Source organism: Homo sapiens, chromosome 15 (genome assembly GCF_000001405.40).
Source record: "Homo sapiens chromosome 15, GRCh38.p14 Primary Assembly".
In the NCBI taxonomy this organism is placed as follows: Eukaryota; Metazoa; Chordata; class Mammalia; order Primates; family Hominidae; genus Homo; species Homo sapiens.
The window spans coordinates 63,062,555-63,082,049 of NC_000015.10; the positions used below are offsets into that span (position 1 = coordinate 63,062,555).

Genomic DNA, 19,495 nt, shown 5'->3' on the forward strand with positions numbered 1-19,495 from the left:
AACTCAAATAAATCATTACAGGCTGAGACTCGGGCTGAGTTTGCGGAGAGGTCAGTAACTAAATTGGAGAAAAGCATTGATGACTTAGAAGGTAAGATCTTAAGTAGTGTTTTTAGTTTAATCCTTATGGTTGAATACCAACCTGGCAAAACAATTTTCCAATTCAAGGGCATCCACATTGATACGCTCCTTTGCACTTGCACATTCTTCCTGTGTGTCCTCTGGGGTTTTTCTCTGTGGCTCTTGAACTCATGAACCTAAGTCTTCTGCTCACGAGGTGACTAGTTAGCCACCAGCCATAGTGGCAAATGCCATCCAGCTTGACTTCATGCTCATTACAAGTGTGGCAGGTTTATTTTTCACTGTGAGTGAGGTGCTTATTGGTGAGAATGACTCTAGTATATTTTATATCTTTAGTGTTACTTCCTAATTAAATTGGGAATGATGTGGTGATTGTGGTCTTGTTTTTAGAAGAACCCATCTTCTTCCAAGTATGAATTCAAAGTAAGGATTTAGGGGTTATTTTAAGTCATATATTATCTTAACAAAATACTTTATATCCTGAAGGAGGAGGGAAAAATTATACTTAAGCATTTCTTCCCTAAGGCACTTAGGTTTTATTTTAGTAATAACCACTCTATCTCACAGATATCCTAAATGTTGAGCTTTGAAGCTTGTGAAGGATTAGCTGTGAACAAGAAAGAAAAAAGACAAATATCTACATCACAGAAGGGATTAGAGAAGGAACTAGTGTTTGGTGCAGATAATAACCAAAATAGTGGAGAAGAGAGAATGACAAATGGTTGCAAAATGATCTGCCAAAGTGCAGCAAAGTATGAAACCTGCAGCATTACAAAAACTAAGTTGCAGACTTGCCATATAAAGTGTGGCGCCCATTGCTTTTCAAGCCTCCTGGACCAGTAATAGGCAGCTTGAGTGGGAAGACCACAGGAGTAGCTTAAATGGCACTAAGAAATCGCTATCCCAGTGGTCTAGTGTGGTCAGGAAGTCAGTGGTTTGAAGGTGGAACCAGATAAGGACTACAGGCTGTAGTCACAAATTGTTCTTCCAAAACACTGCCCTTGCATTTTTTTCCCATTGTTTATAGCTGCAGATGCCTGACTACTCCAGTGTAATTAAAATATAGCTCTGCAAAAGAAAGATGTTCCATTAGCCCCTGCCTCCCCTCACCAGGAGACAGCCTTCTGTGGTTTCGTTTACAATTTAACATGGTTTACTGATATACCTACCATATTTGTTAGGATTTTCATATTGAGTCTTTTTCATTTTATTTTCTAATGGGTTTTGTTCTCTTTGTTTTTGTTTCAATTTACTTAAAACAAAACGCACGCCTCCTGCATTGGCCACCTGCTGCGGCACCAACCCCTTCATGCATTGCCCTTTTCTTGCTGCTGTGTTGGGATGGTGCGCGCACCACCCTCACTCACCCTCCATTTCTTGATCACTCTCCATGTTCTTGCACCTCTGCCTTCCACTTCCTGGTCATAGACGAGCTGTACGCTCAGAAACTGAAGTACAAAGCCATCAGCGAGGAGCTGGACCACGCTCTCAACGATATGACTTCCATGTAAACGTTCATCCACTCTGCCTGCTTACACCCTGCCCTCATGCTAATGTAATAAACTCACCACCATGCCTTCCTTGCTCCCTAATCTCCATCTTTGCACTCTTGTGTTCACCCTTTTTGTCATAACCTAGAATAGTCATTGTTTTTTCACTTTCTGCTAATATAAAGGCCAATTAGATTAAGTCTGTCTATACAAACCATTTTCTTTTCAGAATCCGTTTATTTTGTAAACGCTGAACTAGAGCAGTGAACTAGAATGAGTGACCTTGAGCACTGTCCTTTTGGGAAATTAAGCTAAACTCAAGTAAAACTAGAAGGCCATGCCGTTTGTTGTACAGGAACTTCTCAAAAAATATCAAAATTTGTTTCCTGAAATTCAACTAAGTACAACATAATCATTTTCGTTAAATATAATTTGAAGGAACCCTTAAAGTGTCAGGTTATTGAGAATCTGAGGATAAGGAAATTGGCATGATCCAATACAGCTTTAACAGTGGTACTACAAAAGATCATCTCTTTTACTTTTAAGAATTCTAGAGTAGGCCGGGCACAGTGGCTCACGCCTGTAATCCCAGCACTTTGGGAGGCCGAGGCGGGCGGATCACGAGGTCAGGAGATTGAGACCATCCTGGCTAACACGGTGAAACCCTGTCTCTACTAAAAATACAAAAAAAATTAGCCGGGCGTGGTGGTGGATGCCTGTAGTCCCAGCTACTCAGGAGGCTGAGGCAGGAGAATGGCATGAACCCGGGAGGTGGAGCTTGCAGTCAGCCGAGATCGCACCACCGCACTCCAGCCTGGACGACAGAGCGAGACTCTGTCTCAAGAAAAAAAAGAATGGTAGAGTAAAAAGAACCCTCTGCTGAGTAACCAAGCCTTTAATTTTGTGTTTTTATGAAAGGAATTAAAATACCCACGATAAATATTTACCACAACCTGTGTCAAATAAATGGGAAATTAAACACAGATTGTACAATGTGAGCTTGGGAGTTAATGGCCCAGATTTTACTGTTAGGCAGTAAGAGTTGGAGTAGGTAGTCTTGTTATCATGAGAAGAACCTTGAACAGATACAACTAATTTACATATTACTAACCAAACTTAAACATTAAACTTTTTCTACTACTTTAAATTCTAACCTGGAATGTTTCAGAGTTCTTCATTCTAATATCACCCTGAATTCCATTGAAGCTGGAAATGTCATTTTCCAAGCCCACCTGTCATTCATTTACCCATGCAGAAAAAATGGTAACTTGAAGAGAGTGGCATGTGCCTGCTGCCTTAGAGGTTATAGAATCCCCACAGTCAACAAAAAAGCCTCTAGAGACATGACTGTTGCCATGGAAACCAGAGAAAATGTGTCTTCTCATCCCTCATTTGTAAATGAGGGGGTGGAGCAGATCATCTGTCTCTAAGGTCTTTTTCAGTGCTAAAATGTGGTGATTCTTTGGGAAAAACTTTTTGCATCAAGTATGATTAAATATTCTGAAAGACGAGTGTAGCTTAAAATTTTTTTTGTTTTTAAATTCTGTTCATGGGTCTTCTTAAAATGGACCCTTGCCGAAAGGCGGCCTGTGACGGCCTCAGGTGGGAAGATGGATGTCCTTCCAAGGGTGTGGCTGGCAGTGGGGTTTGCATGACTGCTTCTTGTCTGTGTTTCAAGTGCTCTCATCTATTGGTTTGGTTTCCTTTCTTTTTTTTTTTTTTCTCATTGTGCCACTTTTTTTTTCCTCCCACCTTTTTATCTTCACGCAGATAAGTTTCTTTGCTTCACTTCTCCCAAGACTCCCTCGTCGAGCTGGATGTCCCACCTCTCTGAGCTCTGCATTTGTCTATTCTCCAGCTGACCCTGGTTCTCTCTCTTAGCATCCTGCCTTAGAGCCAGGCACACACTGTGCTTTCTATTGTACAGAAGCTCTTCGTTTCAGTGTCAAATAAACACTGTGTAAGCTATTTCTGTTTGCTATTCTTTTTACTTCTTATTTATTGACATTTTAGTTTCAACATTGAATAAAACTACAAAGCTGCTTCACACATATGAGGGTTAGTGTTTGGCTGCTGCTTTTTCTTTTTAAATACTGAACACTATACAGAATTATATCAGGAGTTTCTAAAGCAGTAGTTCCTTGTTGAACTTCAAAAAAATACCCAGGCCTGCATTCCCTCTCAGAGTTCTGATTTTCAAAGGTTAGAATGAGGTCTGGACATCTGGGGGGGTTTTGGGGGAATTGTGATGGCTCTGCTTTGCAGTCTGGGTCACACAGGGGACATTGCTTGTTGAGAGTTGAAAGGTCTGGCTTGATCAGTGTCTTCCTTTGCTGGAGGTTTAGCTCGGGATGTAGTGACCCCTCTGTGTTGATTATTTCGGTGGCCTTACTTGGGAGGACCTGGCTAACTAATGAAAGGCTCATGATGAATGGTTCTGTAGCTGTCCCATATTACTAGGAAGTTATACATTGAGAAGGGTGAAAAAGAACTTGGATTCAAACAATGTAAGTTTTGGTTATTGTCGATCATCCTTTTATAGCACAAAGAAAAGTTCAAGCTTTTTTGAAGTATATTCATGACTCAGCCACCTTTATTTTGATCATGAAAATGACATCTTAGGTTTTCTAAATATGATTACTCTGTTTAGTCGTGATTTGTTTTGTGCTTTTTAGCACATACTCTTTGGGAGGGATTGTACATAATCTTTGTGTTCAATGGCTGTGTTTTCATTTGTGGACATTTTTAAAATATAGCAATGAAAGTTTCTTTTTTTTTTTCCCAAAAAGATAGTTGGTGGAAATTGTTCAGAAGACAATTGTATTTCATTTGGGCTTCTGTTTTATTTCACAAACAGCAATTAAGTGATTTTTTTAAAAAAATACATTGCAAAAAATAGAACTTTAACTAATATGGACTTTAGTGTTATAATTCCCAACATTTCTCCTTCCTCAACAATCTAGCTATATATTTCTCCTGTTTTTTTTTTAACATGGATGATCTGCATGTTTTGTATATAGTTTTTTTAGCCCGAGAGGGCTGATATACCACCATACTCAAATAAATTTGGACAAACTCAGAAGATAGTGTCATTCTCACTCTACAGAGACTTCAAAGCATAGAGGAAATACTTTTTTTTAAAGAAAGCTGTGAATTAAAGTATTTTAGTCATAGTATGGTGGAATTTTAGAATCTGGACAATGTCTCTCCCTTGAGTTTATAAAGACTTCCATGATTTCATGCTTTTCTTTTCTTAAGGCTCCTTGGGCCTGCTTCTGACTATGATTCCTTCCTCATTCTTTTTTAAATTCAGAATAAGAGAAGTGTACCCTTCTCTGAGTAAATCCTGCTTCCTGATGTAGACAAAATGCCAAGTCTGAAAGTTCTGCTGAGCAGATGTTCATGTAATTCTGGAGGCACATCTGTGTTTTGGAAATCCTTCCAGAGACTTTCGCACTTTCTATAAGTACACTCTACAAGGGGAAGTGGGGCACTAATGGACTGGGAGGGCAGGTCAGGAGTAGCCCAAGGTATGCATGTGCAAGAGGAAAACTTGATAAACTCAAGTTTATCAAGAAATTGTTGATTTCTTGTTCAACTGTTGATTTGAACCAGGCTTCTGGTTCAAAGGGCCAGGCCATAGCTACAGCTGCTCTGGTGGGCCAAACCAAAAGCATCACTGAGTTTGGGCACTTGAAGTTTCAGACAGCTGGGAGTCTCCATAGAACCGGAAGGGAAAACACTTCCAAGGATATGAGCATGTCTTGTCCCTGCCTTTGGGCCACCCATGCACACCAGCTCCACAGCAGCTGAAGCAGAGCAGATCCAGAGGAGGCTGTCGGAGGGACCACTGTCCTTCCTGCTGAATTCATACTGACCCTCTGGATTCTCCAGATTTTCTCCAAAGTTCTTCCATTCTAGCCTGGCCAAACATTTGGGCTCAGCAAACTGAGACAAGCTCCCCACCCATGGCGACACTTCCTATGTCCATAGTGTGAATGTAGTAATGGGATATATGTCTTGGAACCCCCAAGCATATGTCACGTGCAAAACACCGTGGGAAGCAGTGGGGGTGTGGTAAAGAGATGGGCTGGAAAGGCTCTTTGTCCTCAATAAGCTGGGCATCTGATGGGGAGATAGAGGAGTGAAGCGAGTCCGAACTAATAGGCATGTGTATTTGGAGGCAACAAGGAAGAGAGAACCATTCTGACTGGGAGCTCCCTGGAGGAGGTAGCGGACGTTTGACTGGGGTTTGGCATATTCAAAAAATGTGGATGAGCAAAGAGGACAGAGCAGCAGATATTCCAAGCGAGAAAACATAACGAGCATAGCATCCTCCCATGTCCTACCATTTATAAGAGAATGTTAATGTGAGAACTGCTCAGTCTCCTGACAGACCCGGGGGCTGCAGGCACATTTTCCCTAGGGGTAGGTCTGTTAGCTTTTCAAGATCATGAAGTATTTTTAGGTCCAAGTTGTCACCAGCATTCAAAGCCACCGTGCATCCTCCAGCTGTTCCCAGTGCATACCGGGCTCTTGCTTGTCATAGCTTGGATGTCCCCTGGATCATCAGATACAGACTGACTCCTGCACTTGTTTTCCCCCGTAAGCAGATCACGTGTCAGTGTGTAAAATGTATATCACGCTGGTCTTCATGTAGGTGTTGCAAGTTTCGTTCATTTTATACACATCCATTAGCACCACACATGAATGCCATCCTCTTCAAGAAGTAAGCAGATAGGGCTGGGCGCGGTGGCTCATGCCTGTAATCCCAGCACTTCGGGAGGCTGAGGCGGGCGGATCATGAGGTCAGGAGATTGAGACCATTCTGGCTAACACGGTGAAACCCCATCTCTACTAAAAAAAATACAAAAAAAATTAGCCAGGCGTGGTGGCGGGCGCCTGTAGTCCCAGCTACTAGGGAGGCTGAGGCAGGAGATTGGCATGAACCCGGGAGGTGGAGCTTGCAGTGAGCTGAGATCACGCCACTGCACTCCACGCTGGGGGACAGAGCGAGACTAAGTCTCAAAAAACAAAAAAAGCAAGCAGATAAATTCTAAATCAGTGTTGAGTGGTGACAAGTGCTTGTTCTTTTGCTGTTTGAATGGATAACACTATCAAAGCTAGACAGGAGTCAGAATGTGTACCCTGTATTGTGGTGACTGGGGGAAGGACAGAGACTTAATTCCAAATTTCAAAAAATTTCAGTGCAGCAAAAGCAGTAACCCCCAGTTGGTCCTACCTGAGGGGAAAGCCTGCCCTGTGAACGGAGAGGAAAGGGGTTCTGGAAGAGGTGGGCAGCACTGGGCAGGTTGATGTTTCACTTAAGTTCAACACTGAGCCCTAGCAAGGGGTGGATGTCACGCTGGGCTCGCCTCCAGCCAGGCCTGCATTCCCAAATCTATTGCCAGAAACCATGTATGGCTCAGCTCACAAAGTGGTTTAGTGAGGTATAAGAGGAACATTCACTCTTCTTCCTCCTCTTATCCTGTTGCTCCTCCTCCCCTCCTTTCCTCACCAAGAGAGAAATTCTGACACTTCCTAAGTCTACCAAGCTTTTTAGGGTCTACCCTTCCTGGATACAGGACAGGTGACTATGGGGTAAGAGTAAACTGCTCAGCAAGTGACCAGTTGCTGTCCTGCTTGAGGTCTCTTTGTGTTCTCTATTAACTGCCTCTCACCAAGTCTGCTAACCTGTCTTCCTTCTGCCTCTTTTCTGCTAACCTGCTTGCTGACCTGTACAGATCAACTCTACCAGCAACTTGAGCAAAATCGCCGCCTCACTAATGAACTAAAGCTGGCCCTGAATGAGGATTAAACTTAAGAGTGAAAAAACTTGGGCTGAATTCTAGGCGTGGAGCCCATGTGCAGAAAATCTAAGACTGTCCTACCTTCAACTAATAGAGTTGAAAACAGTTGCTTTCTGCAGAAATGCAAATGCAAGGAATTGGCTGAAAGGCTGGCCTTGCCTGCTTGTTTCTCTATATGGCTGGAATAATTACGTTCTCTTTAATCACAAAACAGCTTTTATGGTAGAATACTTATATCAATTCAGCACTGCTCCTTGAAATAGCAGGTCCTCTTGTTTGAACTGATAAATAATGAGGAGCCCCCCCAAAAAATGTTTTCTATTTCCTGACAGCCATGAGTCCTACTTTAAGTATGTATATATATATATATATGTGTGTGTGTGTGTGTGTGTATATATTCCTATCAGATACTCATATTCCTAACTTCTAAATATCTGGTATAGTGTTTGAAATATGATTAAATGTACCTATGCTTGGGCAAAATAGCTTTTGAAAACAGGAACTCATGCCAGAAGCCCCTGGTTGTCTGAAAGGTATGCTTTACTCAGTCTAATGGTGCTGTTGGAGTCTGGGGAGAATGTCATGCTAATAAATAGAACACTATAAAAATATTAAGAGAATGTCCTAATGAAGTGTGCATGAAACATGTTGACAATTTTTTATGAGCAACAGAAATAAATCATTTTAAAAGTTCTCAGAAAACCTATTTATGTCATCTTTGCTTTTGTGAGTTTGTGTTACCGCACAACTCCCAGACTTTTAACTGCCTGTACCTTGGAAATGTCTGCTGTTCGTAACTTCTTCAGTTTGTATAACAGTGCTGCAGCTGTATTTGGTTTTTACCTCTCCCTGTTCCCACGGCACACCGTCAGTGAACCTTCACCAAACCCCACGTGCATTTTATCCTCAGTGAATTGTTGGTGGAGGTGCACCTGACTGCTCTGTGAGAATCCGTGCCATGGCTCCTTTGGGTCAAAGATGCCCTCCCCTCCGTCTTAGGTTCTTGTCTAGAAATGAGTAATGTCTTACAAGCATGCCTAGTTCTAATCATCTCATCCTGTGTTTGTGATTGATGTTTGCCTGCCTAAATGTACAAACCACCATTGTGTCCAAAGCACAGCTATTCATGACTTAATTTTCTAATCTCACCACAGAGAAAGTGGCTCATGCCAAAGAAGAAAACCTTAGTATGCATCAGATGCTGGATCAGACTTTACTGGAGTTAAACAACATGTGAAAACCTCCTTAGCTGCGACCACATTCTTTCGTTTTGTTTTGTTTTGTTTTTAAACACCTGCTTACCCCTTAAATGCAATTTATTTACTTTTACCACTGTCACAGAAACATCCACAAGATACCAGCTAGGTCAGGGGGTGGGGAAAACACATACAAAAAGGCAAGCCCATGTCAGGGCGATCCTGGTTCAAATGTGCCATTTCCCGGGTTGATGCTGCCACACTTTGTAGAGAGTTTAGCAACACAGTGTGCTTAGTCAGCGTAGGAATCCTCACTAAAGCAGAAGAAGTTCCATTCAAAGTGCCAATGATAGAGTCAACAGGAAGGTTAATGTTGGAAACACAATCAGGTGTGGATTGGTGCTACTTTGAACAAAAGGTCCCCCTGTGGTCTTTTGTTCAACATTGTACAATGTAGAACTCTGTCCAACACTAATTTATTTTGTCTTGAGTTTTACTACAAGATGAGACTATGGATCCCGCATGCCTGAATTCACTAAAGCCAAGGGTCTGTAAGCCACGCTGCTCTTCCGAGACTTCCATTCCTTTCTGATTGGCACACGTGCAGCTCATGACAATCTGTAGGATAACAATCAGTGTGGATTTCCACTCTTTTCAGTCCTTCATGTTAAAGATTTAGACACCACATACAACTGGTAAAGGACGTTTTCTTGAGAGTTTTAACTATATGTAAACATTGTATAATGATATGGAATAAAATGCACATTGTAGGACATTTTCTAAATTTGGTGGTCCTGTCATTTGTATGTTCTTAATTTGTGAACTTTTGAACGTGTGACTGACCTGCCTTCCCCCACAAATAGGTTCTCAAAACAATATCCCACAGTCCAGGGGAAACTGGGTTTCATGTGTTACCTTCTCAGAAACACTAAAGGCAGCATTATTTTGGTCTGTTAAAGTTATAACCAAGCAGGAGAGACCCTTTCCAAATGTTGTTTTCAATGTTATTGGTGTATGCCTGCACATACATGTAGGACTTTGGCAGTGGCTTTACTGGTTTGGGGATTTTTCTTCCTGACATATTAGCTAAGCCTCTAGCAGTGGCATAGCCACACAAGAACAAATGATGGGTTAATGTGCCAAATCTGCTGTTGTCCCCCAGCGATATGATTTGACTCAAACTACTGCTTTAGCGAGTCTTTATGACTTTCTGCTTCCCAACTCATGAGTTCTCAATTCCAATACGTCTCCATTTTCTCAGACTTGGAAACTAAAAATGTCATCAGTCATTTCCCTAGCTCTTGAAGACTCTAAGCAAACAAAAATAGATTACAGACAATACTGGCTTCAGCTGTGCTGCAGGGAGAAAAAAGGATGTTCTCACCAAAAGCAAACAGAATGGAAACAAATGAAAACTCATTTGGATGCAGATATATTTTCATTCAAAAGTATTAAATATCTCTGTAACTGTACTTCCATGTCTCTTAATCAGGAATCTCTTCTCCACAGAAAGACAAAGGCTGTAAGGCAAAGAATCCAAGCAGGGTCCCGGAGCCTGGTTTTAGGTCTCCTTCCAAAAAGCTGTCCCCTTGCTCACGGCAAATAAATGCACAGGTCTCAACCTTCCTACAGTTTCAGGACCCCTCGCCTCACCTCTGCCAATCCTCAGCTAGGAAAAAACCCTCTCTGCATCACTCTAGTCATGGAAGCCTTTCCTAAACCTGGTCCTCTTTCACTCGGGGAGCCAGATCTGGCTTCAGATCCAGACTCCACCTTTATGAGACTGCCTAACCTGTCAAGTCCCTAAATCTGAGCTGCTCCATCTTTAACATGGAGATGAGATTAGCACCTAGCTCATAGTTTATAACTGTGGGAGTCTAATCTATAACCACTTCAAGTACACGGCACAGTACCAGGCGCCTAGGTCTTGTTCCATAAGTTAACCGCTCGGCCAGGCATGGTGGCTCACGCCTGTAATCCCACCACTTTGGGAGGCTAAGGCAGGTGGATCGCTTGAGGTCAGGAGTTTGAATGAGACCAGCGTGGCCAACACAGCAAAACCCCGTCTTTACTAAAGTTACAAAAATCAGCCAGGCATGGTGGTGTGCACTTATAATACCAGCTACTCAGGAGGCTGAGGCAGGAGAATCGCTTGAACCCGGGAGGTGGAGGTTGCGGTAAGCCAAGATCACACAACTGCACTCCAGCCTGGATGACAGAGTGAGGCTCCATCTCAAAAAAAAAGTTAACTGCTGTGGTCCTCAACTTGCCATTTGTGCTCCAAAGACCACCACAGAAGATAGTACCCATCCTTGTGAAGCTAAGGGGGGACTAACCTTACCCCAAATTATGATGGTTTTTAACACTTTCGGATCCCATTTATGTGTGCTAAAGAACTTGTACTCACAAGGGTTATTTCACTTAAGCCTCACGTCACTGAGGCTTAGATACTCAGTTCAGTAGCTCCCAAGTAGTGGGGTTGGGCTTCAAACTCTGGCCCTGTGTGACTCCTGAGCCCTGTCTGGAATCTCCTTCCCCTTGTTTCAAACGCTTTACAGCAGAAGAAAAACAGTTTCTAGATAATAGATGAAAACAGATGAAGCCGCAGGTATAATTAGGAGAGGAGGAGGCTGGGAAGATGGAGGTGGAGTCAACCATTTAGCAGCTGACACGACCGTGTGGGAGTGGTTTAACACCTGACTTCCCCTCTGGGTTCCAGGGATCAGACAAGATCAGTTAATTATGAAGCATCATGCCAATTCGAAGAATGATTACCTAATCTTTCAGATTAATATAAAAAAGGAGAACGGCTCTGTCTCTACATGGTACACGCCTGGGGTATGACTGGGTGTGATAACCTCTGAACATGCCACTCTGTGAGGTCAAGGTACAGAGATTAGGACTCTTGAATATGGAAAGGCCAAGGCTGGAAGCTGAGATGGTCACCATTTGGAGAACCATGAGGTGTAGAGAGAGAATTCAAGATTCATGTTCTAAATTCCATTGCTGAAACTTAGCAGTCCCAGATTTCAGAATGAACAGCTGAACAGTTGCCCTGTTCAGAGTAAAACATTGTGGAACTCCACAGAGAAAGGACACAGGTAAAAACATAAGCATCTTCAAAAAATAATGATGAGAGTTCTACAGTTTGTTTTGTTGTTGTTGTTGTTGCTTTTTTGGTTTTTTTTTGAGACAGAGTCTCACTCTGTTGCCCAGGCTGGAGTGCAGTGGCATGATCTCAGCTCACTGAAACCTCCACCTTCTGGGTTCAAGCAATTCTCATGCCCCAGCCTCCCGAGTAGCTGGGATTACAGGTGCATGCCACCACGCCTGGCTAATTTTTGTATAAAAATAGAGTAAGAAAGTACTCTAAAAAGTAGAGACGAGGTTTCACCATGTTGCCCAGGCTGATCTCGAGCTCCTGACCTCAAGTGATCTGCCCACCTCGGCCTCCCAAAGTGCTGGGATTACAGGCATGAGCCACTGTGCCGGCCTACAATCAGTTCTTAAGAGAAAAAAGAAAAGCGCTTTGTGGATACATTCAGAACTTTTTGAGACTGACATTGAAAAGAACAATTCCCCTCCTTATTGTTCCTAGAGATGTCGTTAACAGAAACAAAATCTAATTTTTGCATATGCTGGTTTGTGTCCTCCAGAGTTCAATACTTTGGGCCTGATTTTTCTCCAGGAAAAAAAAATTATATAGATATAGATATAGATATCTGTCTTACTCAAGTATTTGAATGTGTGTGAACCATTTTTTCAACTTGTCAACACTATTTGTAGCTGGTTTTTTTTTTAAATCTACAGTCAGATATATATACAGGGAGAAAAAAAATCCGAATTCTCCAATCAAAACAAAAAGCACTAGGGCGTTCAGGGAGCCATCATTTCCAGAATTGGAGACAAAGGTTTGGAAAGAAAATAGAAATGTTGGGCAGTACAAGAAGTGTTCCTTCCATTATATATACTTTTTGACATTGAGGGTTTTCAGAGCTACATTCCTCCAACAGATGTCATAAATTTTGTGTGTCAAACAATGAATGAAACTATGTTGAGAGTTCACTAATATGAATGTAACTTTTGCCAAATTTTTGACAAATGGGCATCAACCCTGAGGAAAAGGCTGCTTTCTGCTGCCTGTGAGAGTTTTCTTTCCATTTGTTACCAAAGCCATGGAGAACCAAGGGTCGAGTCAAGGCCATATCAGGACCTGCCAAGGCTGTTGCCCTAAACTGAAAACGCTGATTCAGAACTGGAAGGAGCCTTAAGATCATCGAGGACAGAGAAAAACGAGACCTAGAAAGATTTAGTGGTTTGCTCCGAGTCATCCAGCCCCCGTCAAGGCGGGCAGTGCAGCGTGGGGCCTGGAAACCAGAGGCACTGGTTTTGCATCCGCTCCCTGCTCACAGACCGGCCCAGGTTAATGTTGCCATCTGGGCGTTGATTTCTCCATCCCTGAAGGAGGTGGTTTCACTGCCCCTCTCCACGTGCCCACTCACTTCCTCAGGGCTGAGAACCGAATGGGGCAATGTGTGTAGAGTCCCTCTTCTGTTCCTTAGCCCCAATCCTTTTTTTTTTCACCTGCATTAGGTCCTTAGGGAAACTGAAAGTAACTTTTTCCTTTTGAAATGAAAATCCCCAGTACCACTGCCCGGGAGGATATTCACTGCAAGGCCATGGTACCCCACAAGTGGCCCGGAAAGAAAGCTCAAGTCACAGTTTCGAAGTTTGTTTTTGAGTTGTTAATCACCTGCGCACAGGAGGCAAAGAATGTTTCAAAGTAGTAGATTCAAATCTCACATGGAAGCTAAAGGCTGGCTCTGTTGTAAGTTTCTGTTACTCCATTCTCAAACTGCATTTGGATTTGTTGCTTCATGGAAGCCAACAGAACACTGCTCTTAGGCCTGGCATCGGATGTAAATGAAGGCAGTTCAGCCCTTATTTATTCTAGAGAAGCCACGAGGCAGATCCTGTGGAGCCGTGGAATCCACTGTCTCCAGAGGGAAGCTAATGACCGGGAAGGTGAAAGATGCTTTGTCTGTGGCAGGGAAGCAGTTGTTGTGTCTCCGGAGGGGCCGGCTGGGCACAGGGGGGCCGGAGGAGCAGAAGAGTTGGCTCCTCTTGGCGGATGCTGCATGGGGATGGGGTCAGAGGGGACAGCACACATCATGATGGTAAGTCCTGGTCTGTTTTCAACTCCAGAGACACTCAGAAAGGATTTGGAATGCTGCCTTTCCAGTGGGACTCTTGGTTAGACTCATGACTCCAGTGTTAAACTCCCAGATGCCTGCACTGGTATAATATAGCCCTTCGGCCTTCTGGTGAGCTGGGATTCGATGGGCTGCCCACATCCTGCACCTCCACTCCCCCACCTCACCCCAAAGTCCACTTCCTCTATGAAAACCACCCTTCACAATGAAACACTTGCCAAGGAACTGCTTGAATCGTGCTGTGGTCAAGGACGCCTTTATCTGAAGTGAGCCCCATCACTATTCCCAAAAGGATTAAGTATAGTTGCCCAAAGCCCAGTGATGTAAATATTAGAAATGGGAACCCACACCCAGGCAGTAGGGGCTTTTGTTTTTGAAGGGGATGCTGGCTTCCTAGGAATGGCCAAAGCATACCTGCATCTCAGAAGCCTGAGCCAGCGGGAAGTGATTAACCCCTGGGTTACTCAGCTCGAAGCCTGTCATTCCCATGATTTGTTTTCCTGCTATCTTCACACAAAGCACTCCTTTCCAGAACACTCCGGGACTGTCTGCCTAGCACCTTCCGGAGAAATTAAAAAGAGCAAAGGCAGAATAATTTGCCTAAGAATAGGAATGTCAAGAAAATGTGCCTCAACAAAGAGTTGCTAGGCTCAAATCCTGGCCAAACTGTTCATCTCTCTTCAGTTGTTAACCCTCTACTTGAAAACTTCCTATCCGCCATGCCTCCTTTTTCTGGCTTTCGTTCTTCCCTTCTGGCTACAATTTTTTGTTACTCTAATCTCTTGTTCTGCTCACTTTCTCTCAGACACAGAGCTTCCATATTGTCTTCTAGTAACTAAAATTATGAAAGTTAAGATTCATAATTTTGCCTACAAGACAAATTGTATTTCCATTTAAGAATGTTTTACAGTATTTTGGGGACTGTATTTTGGGCTCAGATGGGCCGGAGGAGTAGAAGAGTCAGCTCCTCTTGGCAGATGCTCTGTGGGGCTGGGGGCTGAGAAGCCAGCAAACATCATGATGGCAAATCCTGGTCTGTTTTCAAGGTTGGGGGTTATAGGACAATACAGACAAAGTATAATAGACGTCTTGCCCTCAAGGAGTCTATGGAAGCAACTGAATATGTGCACAAACGCACTAAAAAATAATAAAACAGGATATGATTACATGGCAAATAGACAGTAAATGATACAAGACTGCATGGAAACAGATGTCATGCCCCCTTCCTGGTAGATTTCTAACCATCTAAAACCAGTAGAAAAGGCTCTCCTGGGCATGCTCTATAATTTTCTCAGGGGTACTCCAGCCACAGGCAAATCACCACTCACCCCGGCCTCTCAAATCTTAGAAACAAGAGCTCTGCTAGTTTAAAAATGCTTTGGTTTTACTACTTACTCTGGCTACGAAATTTTTTGTTCATAATTGTAGCTTTTTTCTACCAAATTCTCATTTTAAAATCCTCCCCTCTTACCCACCTCTCATTCCTTGCTGTAGGCCATGTAGTTGTGTTCTGTTTGTTTGTTTGTTTGTTTGTTTGTTTTTAAACTTTTGGTCTTACCATACCTTTGCTTTAATCCTAGAGCATCTGTTAAGCTTTAAAGGAAAGAGCATAAATGAATGCACACATATACTCTTAGAGCCTATAAAATCAGCTTCCTACTCCACCAGGGAGGTCTGAAGGAGCCTTTGGTTTCTGGTAAAGCAAATGGATGAGGATCGCCGCTAACATTCACTTCTCCCACGAGAAGCCTCCCCAGGCTGATTGCTATAGTCGCTAGTGCAGACAGCGACCTGATCTGCTCAGGCTGCCAGACTTCAGAAGCCTCAGCCAGGTTCAGAGCCTCCCTAATCCTAATGGGCTAGGAGCCCTGGGTGTCTCCAGATAACCCATTTTCCAGCCTTCCAAGAAAGAGGAGTAGTGGGGCAGTGGGCGAGAGAGAATTGGGTTTCAGTGCTGTTTTAATGTAAACTGCTGGGGGCTGGGAGCTCCCCTTTTGCTCTCCTTGTTTTGGTTCCTACCCCAGAAACATAAAGTATTACTGATAAACATGGATAATTAAATTTGGATAAAAACTACTTGAACCTGAAGAGTTCATTCCAATTTGTATAACAGCAATTGATGTGGGTTGTGTATTTAAAGGAATATTTAAATTTCATGCAGCAATTTGCAAGTTCAAATGAAAAGCTATTTGGCACATTTGGATACTGGGTTGCAAGGGAAATAAGCAAAATGTACACATGAGGTACATGCCATCATATAATTGTGTACATTTTTTATTTGTCACAAAGCATTATAAAAACAATAGAGAAAAACTATGAAGGAAAAAAAAGGTCACCACTGGGAAAAAAAAAAACTTATTTTCCATATGTTTTGCCTGTGTGTTTATGGAAGGCTTTTTATTCAAAATTTTGGTTTTTATTCAAAAAACTTTGCATAAACATCTTCCTGTGTTGCTTCACCTAGTCTTCTGGTTAATGTGCCATAATTTGTTCTCCTCTTTTTGATCACTGGGTTTTTCTAATTTTTTGTTCTCACAACTAGGACTGATGGGAGATTTTTTTGTAATACAGATATTTTCTGACATGTAAGAAATGAAAACATACACTTAAAAAAAACTATTTCATTTAAGCACAGACATACCCTAAATATAGTGTTAAGTTGTTTCTTAACTATGTGGTGATTCCTGCTCCGGCCTGGACTCCAGCCTGGAGAGCCCTTTTTTGATTTCCAGGCCTCAGGTTCTTAAAAGAGAAGCAAAACAACTTTTCCCAAACTGGTGTGGTAAAGCCTTTAAGAAATCTAGTTCCGGCCGGGTGCAGTGGCTCACGCCTGTAATCCCAGCACTTTGGGAGGCCAAGGCAGGTGGATCACCTGAGGTTGGCCTGTCGGCCTGACCAACATGGAGAAGCCCCTTCTCTACTAAAAATACAAAATTAGCCGGGCGTGGTGGCACATGCCTGTAATCCCAGCTAATCAGGAGGCTGAGTCAGGAGAATCGCTTGAACCTGGGAGGCAGAGGTTGCAGTGAGCCGAGATCGAGACACTGCACTCCAGCCTGGGCAACAAGAGCGAAACTCCACCTCAAAAAAAAAAAAAGAAGAAAGGAAAAGAAATCTAGTTCCACACGTTATCCCTTTCCCGCTCCCTCATCTGTGCTGCTCCCCCAACAAAAACACACAAACTTGAGCTTTAAGACATGCCTTCACCGCAGCCACCCGGCTCTTTCTTGTACCCCTTGTCTAGACCTGAGTTGATAAAAGTGAATGATGGGTGTGTGGGCTTAGAGGCACTGCCTCGGGCCTCAGTTCTGGGAAGACCCTTAATTACTGGATGATGAACAGTGACAGAAGAAGGAAGCAGCCATATAGAAAACTTAACTGCCCTGCTAAAGAGGCAGCCTAGATAGTATGTACAATCCCAGCCTTCGAAATTAGACCAGAATTTAACAGCCACCTCTGCCATGTACTGGTTGTGTGACTTAAAGTAAGCTGCTCAACTTCTCTGCAATTATTTCCCCATCTGCAAAATGGGGATAATAATAATAGTACCCAACATCATAACGTTCAGGGCATGAATAACTAAGATACTGCATGAAAAGTTTTAGTATGGTGCCTGGCATAGCAAACTCTCAGTGATAGACAACTTCTATTGCCCTGTTCTTTAAATAGTCTTAGATCCCGGCAATCAGCCCGTAGAAGTCACGCTCCCCAGGATTCAAAGACAAGGCCGCCCCTCACCTCTTCCCTACTCACCTATCAGGCTGCCTTAGTGTGCTGTCATTTTCTCCTTCAAGGCTGCCTCTGATGTTCATTTCACCAGGATGATTCATCGGGATGGGTCAGGGCCAGTGGCGAGTTAGCCTGATAGCCCAGCTGGATCTTCCCCTGAAATCTGATGGAAGCACACTTCACCGCCCGTCAGGACTAAAGTCCGGCATTGGTGAGCAGTAAGAACAGCCCCTCTCCAGTGTGGGAGGAGGGGCCTCGAGTAGACCCCAATGACTGACCCTCATCAGCTCTCCAGGAAGTGCCTGCCCAGTGGCATCCAGAAGAGGTGCCCAGGTCCTGTGTCTCCCCAGGGCACACTGGGGTTTGCCACTGGGGTTAGGTTTCCTGGGGACTTCTCAATGACACTGTGAAAACCTAGCTCACCTCCTTGGTGATCGTACTCTCAGCCACTAAAAGGTTTCCTAGGGCACTTAGAAGTTGAGTTCAGACAATAATAATATCCTGGTCGTCTGGTGAAATCGTTAGCATCTGAGGGGCTGCTTTGCAGTACCCTCTGTTGGGCTTGCGGCTCCTGCCTTTGTATGTTTAACCTTTAAACAAGGGGGTTGGCAGAAGGAAGCAAGCTGTTCTGTCACAGCTGGTCCTGGCGATGCCAGAGGAGGCCCAAGCTGGAGCTTCCTAGTTAGCTTTGGCTTTTGCCTAAAGAGGATTTCAGGAATAGGGCAGGACACAGGGACCCAGCCAACACCAGGAATAAAAGCCAAGCGTCTACTCCATGCTTTTGGTTCTGGCTGGCCAGGGCATCTGACACCAGGGAACATCTTTCCTTTCACACTCCATTGTCCTGGGGCTTCAATTACATTCTTGACTGAGAGCCCAGGAATGAGGATAGCGGGCACTCCAGAAATTAACCTTAGAGAAGTGACTACGTGAGTTTTTAGCCTACTCGCCTCCCTAACAATGGTGCACACCATTGCTGCTCCAGGTGGAGGAGTCACTGCCACCTCCACTAGCTGAGCAAACATCCCTTGGCCTCAGATCTGGGATTAAAAGGAATCAGGAGGTCAGCTCCCCACTCATTAGAGCTGGATTATCCTACGAGGGTTTGTACTGCGTGCATAGACAAAAGCATAGCACCCAAAAGAATGAGACACAGCGACGGAATTTTGTTATTTTATATTTCAAAAAAAGGCATTGGCTAAGTATAGTGGCTCATGCCTGTAATCCCAGCACTTAGGGAGGCCGAGGCAGGAGGATCACTTGAGCCAAGGAGTTTAACATCAGCCTGGGCAACATGGCAAAACCCCATCTCTACAAAAAAAATATAAAAAATTAGCTGGGTGTGGTGGCACACGCCTGTGGTCCCAGCTACTTTGGAGGCTGAAATGAGCCTAGGATCAATTGAACCTAGGAAGTCGAGGCTGCGGTGAGCCGTGATCACACCGCTGCACTCCAACCTGGGCGGGCAACAGAGCGAGACCCTGTCTCAAAAAAGAAAAGGCATTGACAAAGTCATTATTGGAAAAATCTGAATGTATGTAGTCTTATTTCCATTTGTTTCATAGTTTAGTGATGTTTTATCTTGAGTTACAAATCCCTTTGGTGCAAAGGATGATGTCTTATGCTAGCTGCACATCTCGTCGGTCTTATAGCTCACCACCACAGAGAGGTGAGCCCTCCACAAGCCCCTGGTCTGTGTCCTTGACTCTCCCAAGGCCACCACCCCACCTTTCCCCACACTCAGAGCCATCAGCATCACCACCACCATTGATCGTATGAAGACATGCAGACCACTTTTATACTGCATGTGCTTTGTTGCAGGTACTTTTGTGAATCTGCAACACTGAGAAAAACCCAAGTTCAATCCTTAGTTCTTCCCAGTTAACAACTGGGGGATTTGAAGCAAGTTACTCAGCCTTTCTGAATTGCAGTTTACTCAGCCTCTCTGAATGTCAGTTTCCTCCTCTGTAAGAGCC

At 43.6% G+C, this 19,495-nt stretch overlaps 1 protein-coding gene across 58 annotated transcripts in view, besides 2 other annotated features; it reads left to right on the plus strand.

Annotated features, from left to right (window-relative positions):
* TPM1 (tropomyosin 1) overlaps positions 1 to 9,361 on the plus strand; it is a 29,169-nt gene extending 19,808 nt beyond the window's left edge. For 11 of the 58 annotated variants that reach the window (NR_176344.1, NR_176340.1, NR_176337.1 and 8 more), the window contains 2 exons: positions 22 to 91; positions 8,536 to 9,361. Coding sequence is in view for 41 of the 58 variants with exons in the window: in NM_001365778.1 (NP_001352707.1) it covers positions 22 to 91; positions 8,536 to 8,618 (153 nt within the window). In the remaining 17 variants the exon portion in view is untranslated. Of the gene's footprint in view, positions 1 to 21; positions 3,625 to 7,315 lie in introns of those variants that run through there. The other 47 variants (NR_176338.1, NR_176348.1, NR_176352.1 and 44 more) reach the window with 10 other exon arrangements.
* Positions 16,196 to 16,873: an enhancer, noted in NCBI's record as "H3K27ac-H3K4me1 hESC enhancer chr15:63370949-63371626 (GRCh37/hg19 assembly coordinates)". NCBI's record gives its function as "activates a minimal SCP1, AML or CMV promoter by ChIP-STARR-seq in naive H9 embryonic stem cells {active_cell/tissue: H9 hESC(naive)}" and the evidence as "EXISTENCE:reporter gene assay evidence [ECO:0000049][PMID:30033119]".
* Positions 16,874 to 17,549: an enhancer, noted in NCBI's record as "H3K27ac-H3K4me1 hESC enhancer chr15:63371627-63372302 (GRCh37/hg19 assembly coordinates)". NCBI's record gives its function as "activates a minimal SCP1, AML or CMV promoter by ChIP-STARR-seq in naive H9 embryonic stem cells {active_cell/tissue: H9 hESC(naive)}" and the evidence as "EXISTENCE:reporter gene assay evidence [ECO:0000049][PMID:30033119]".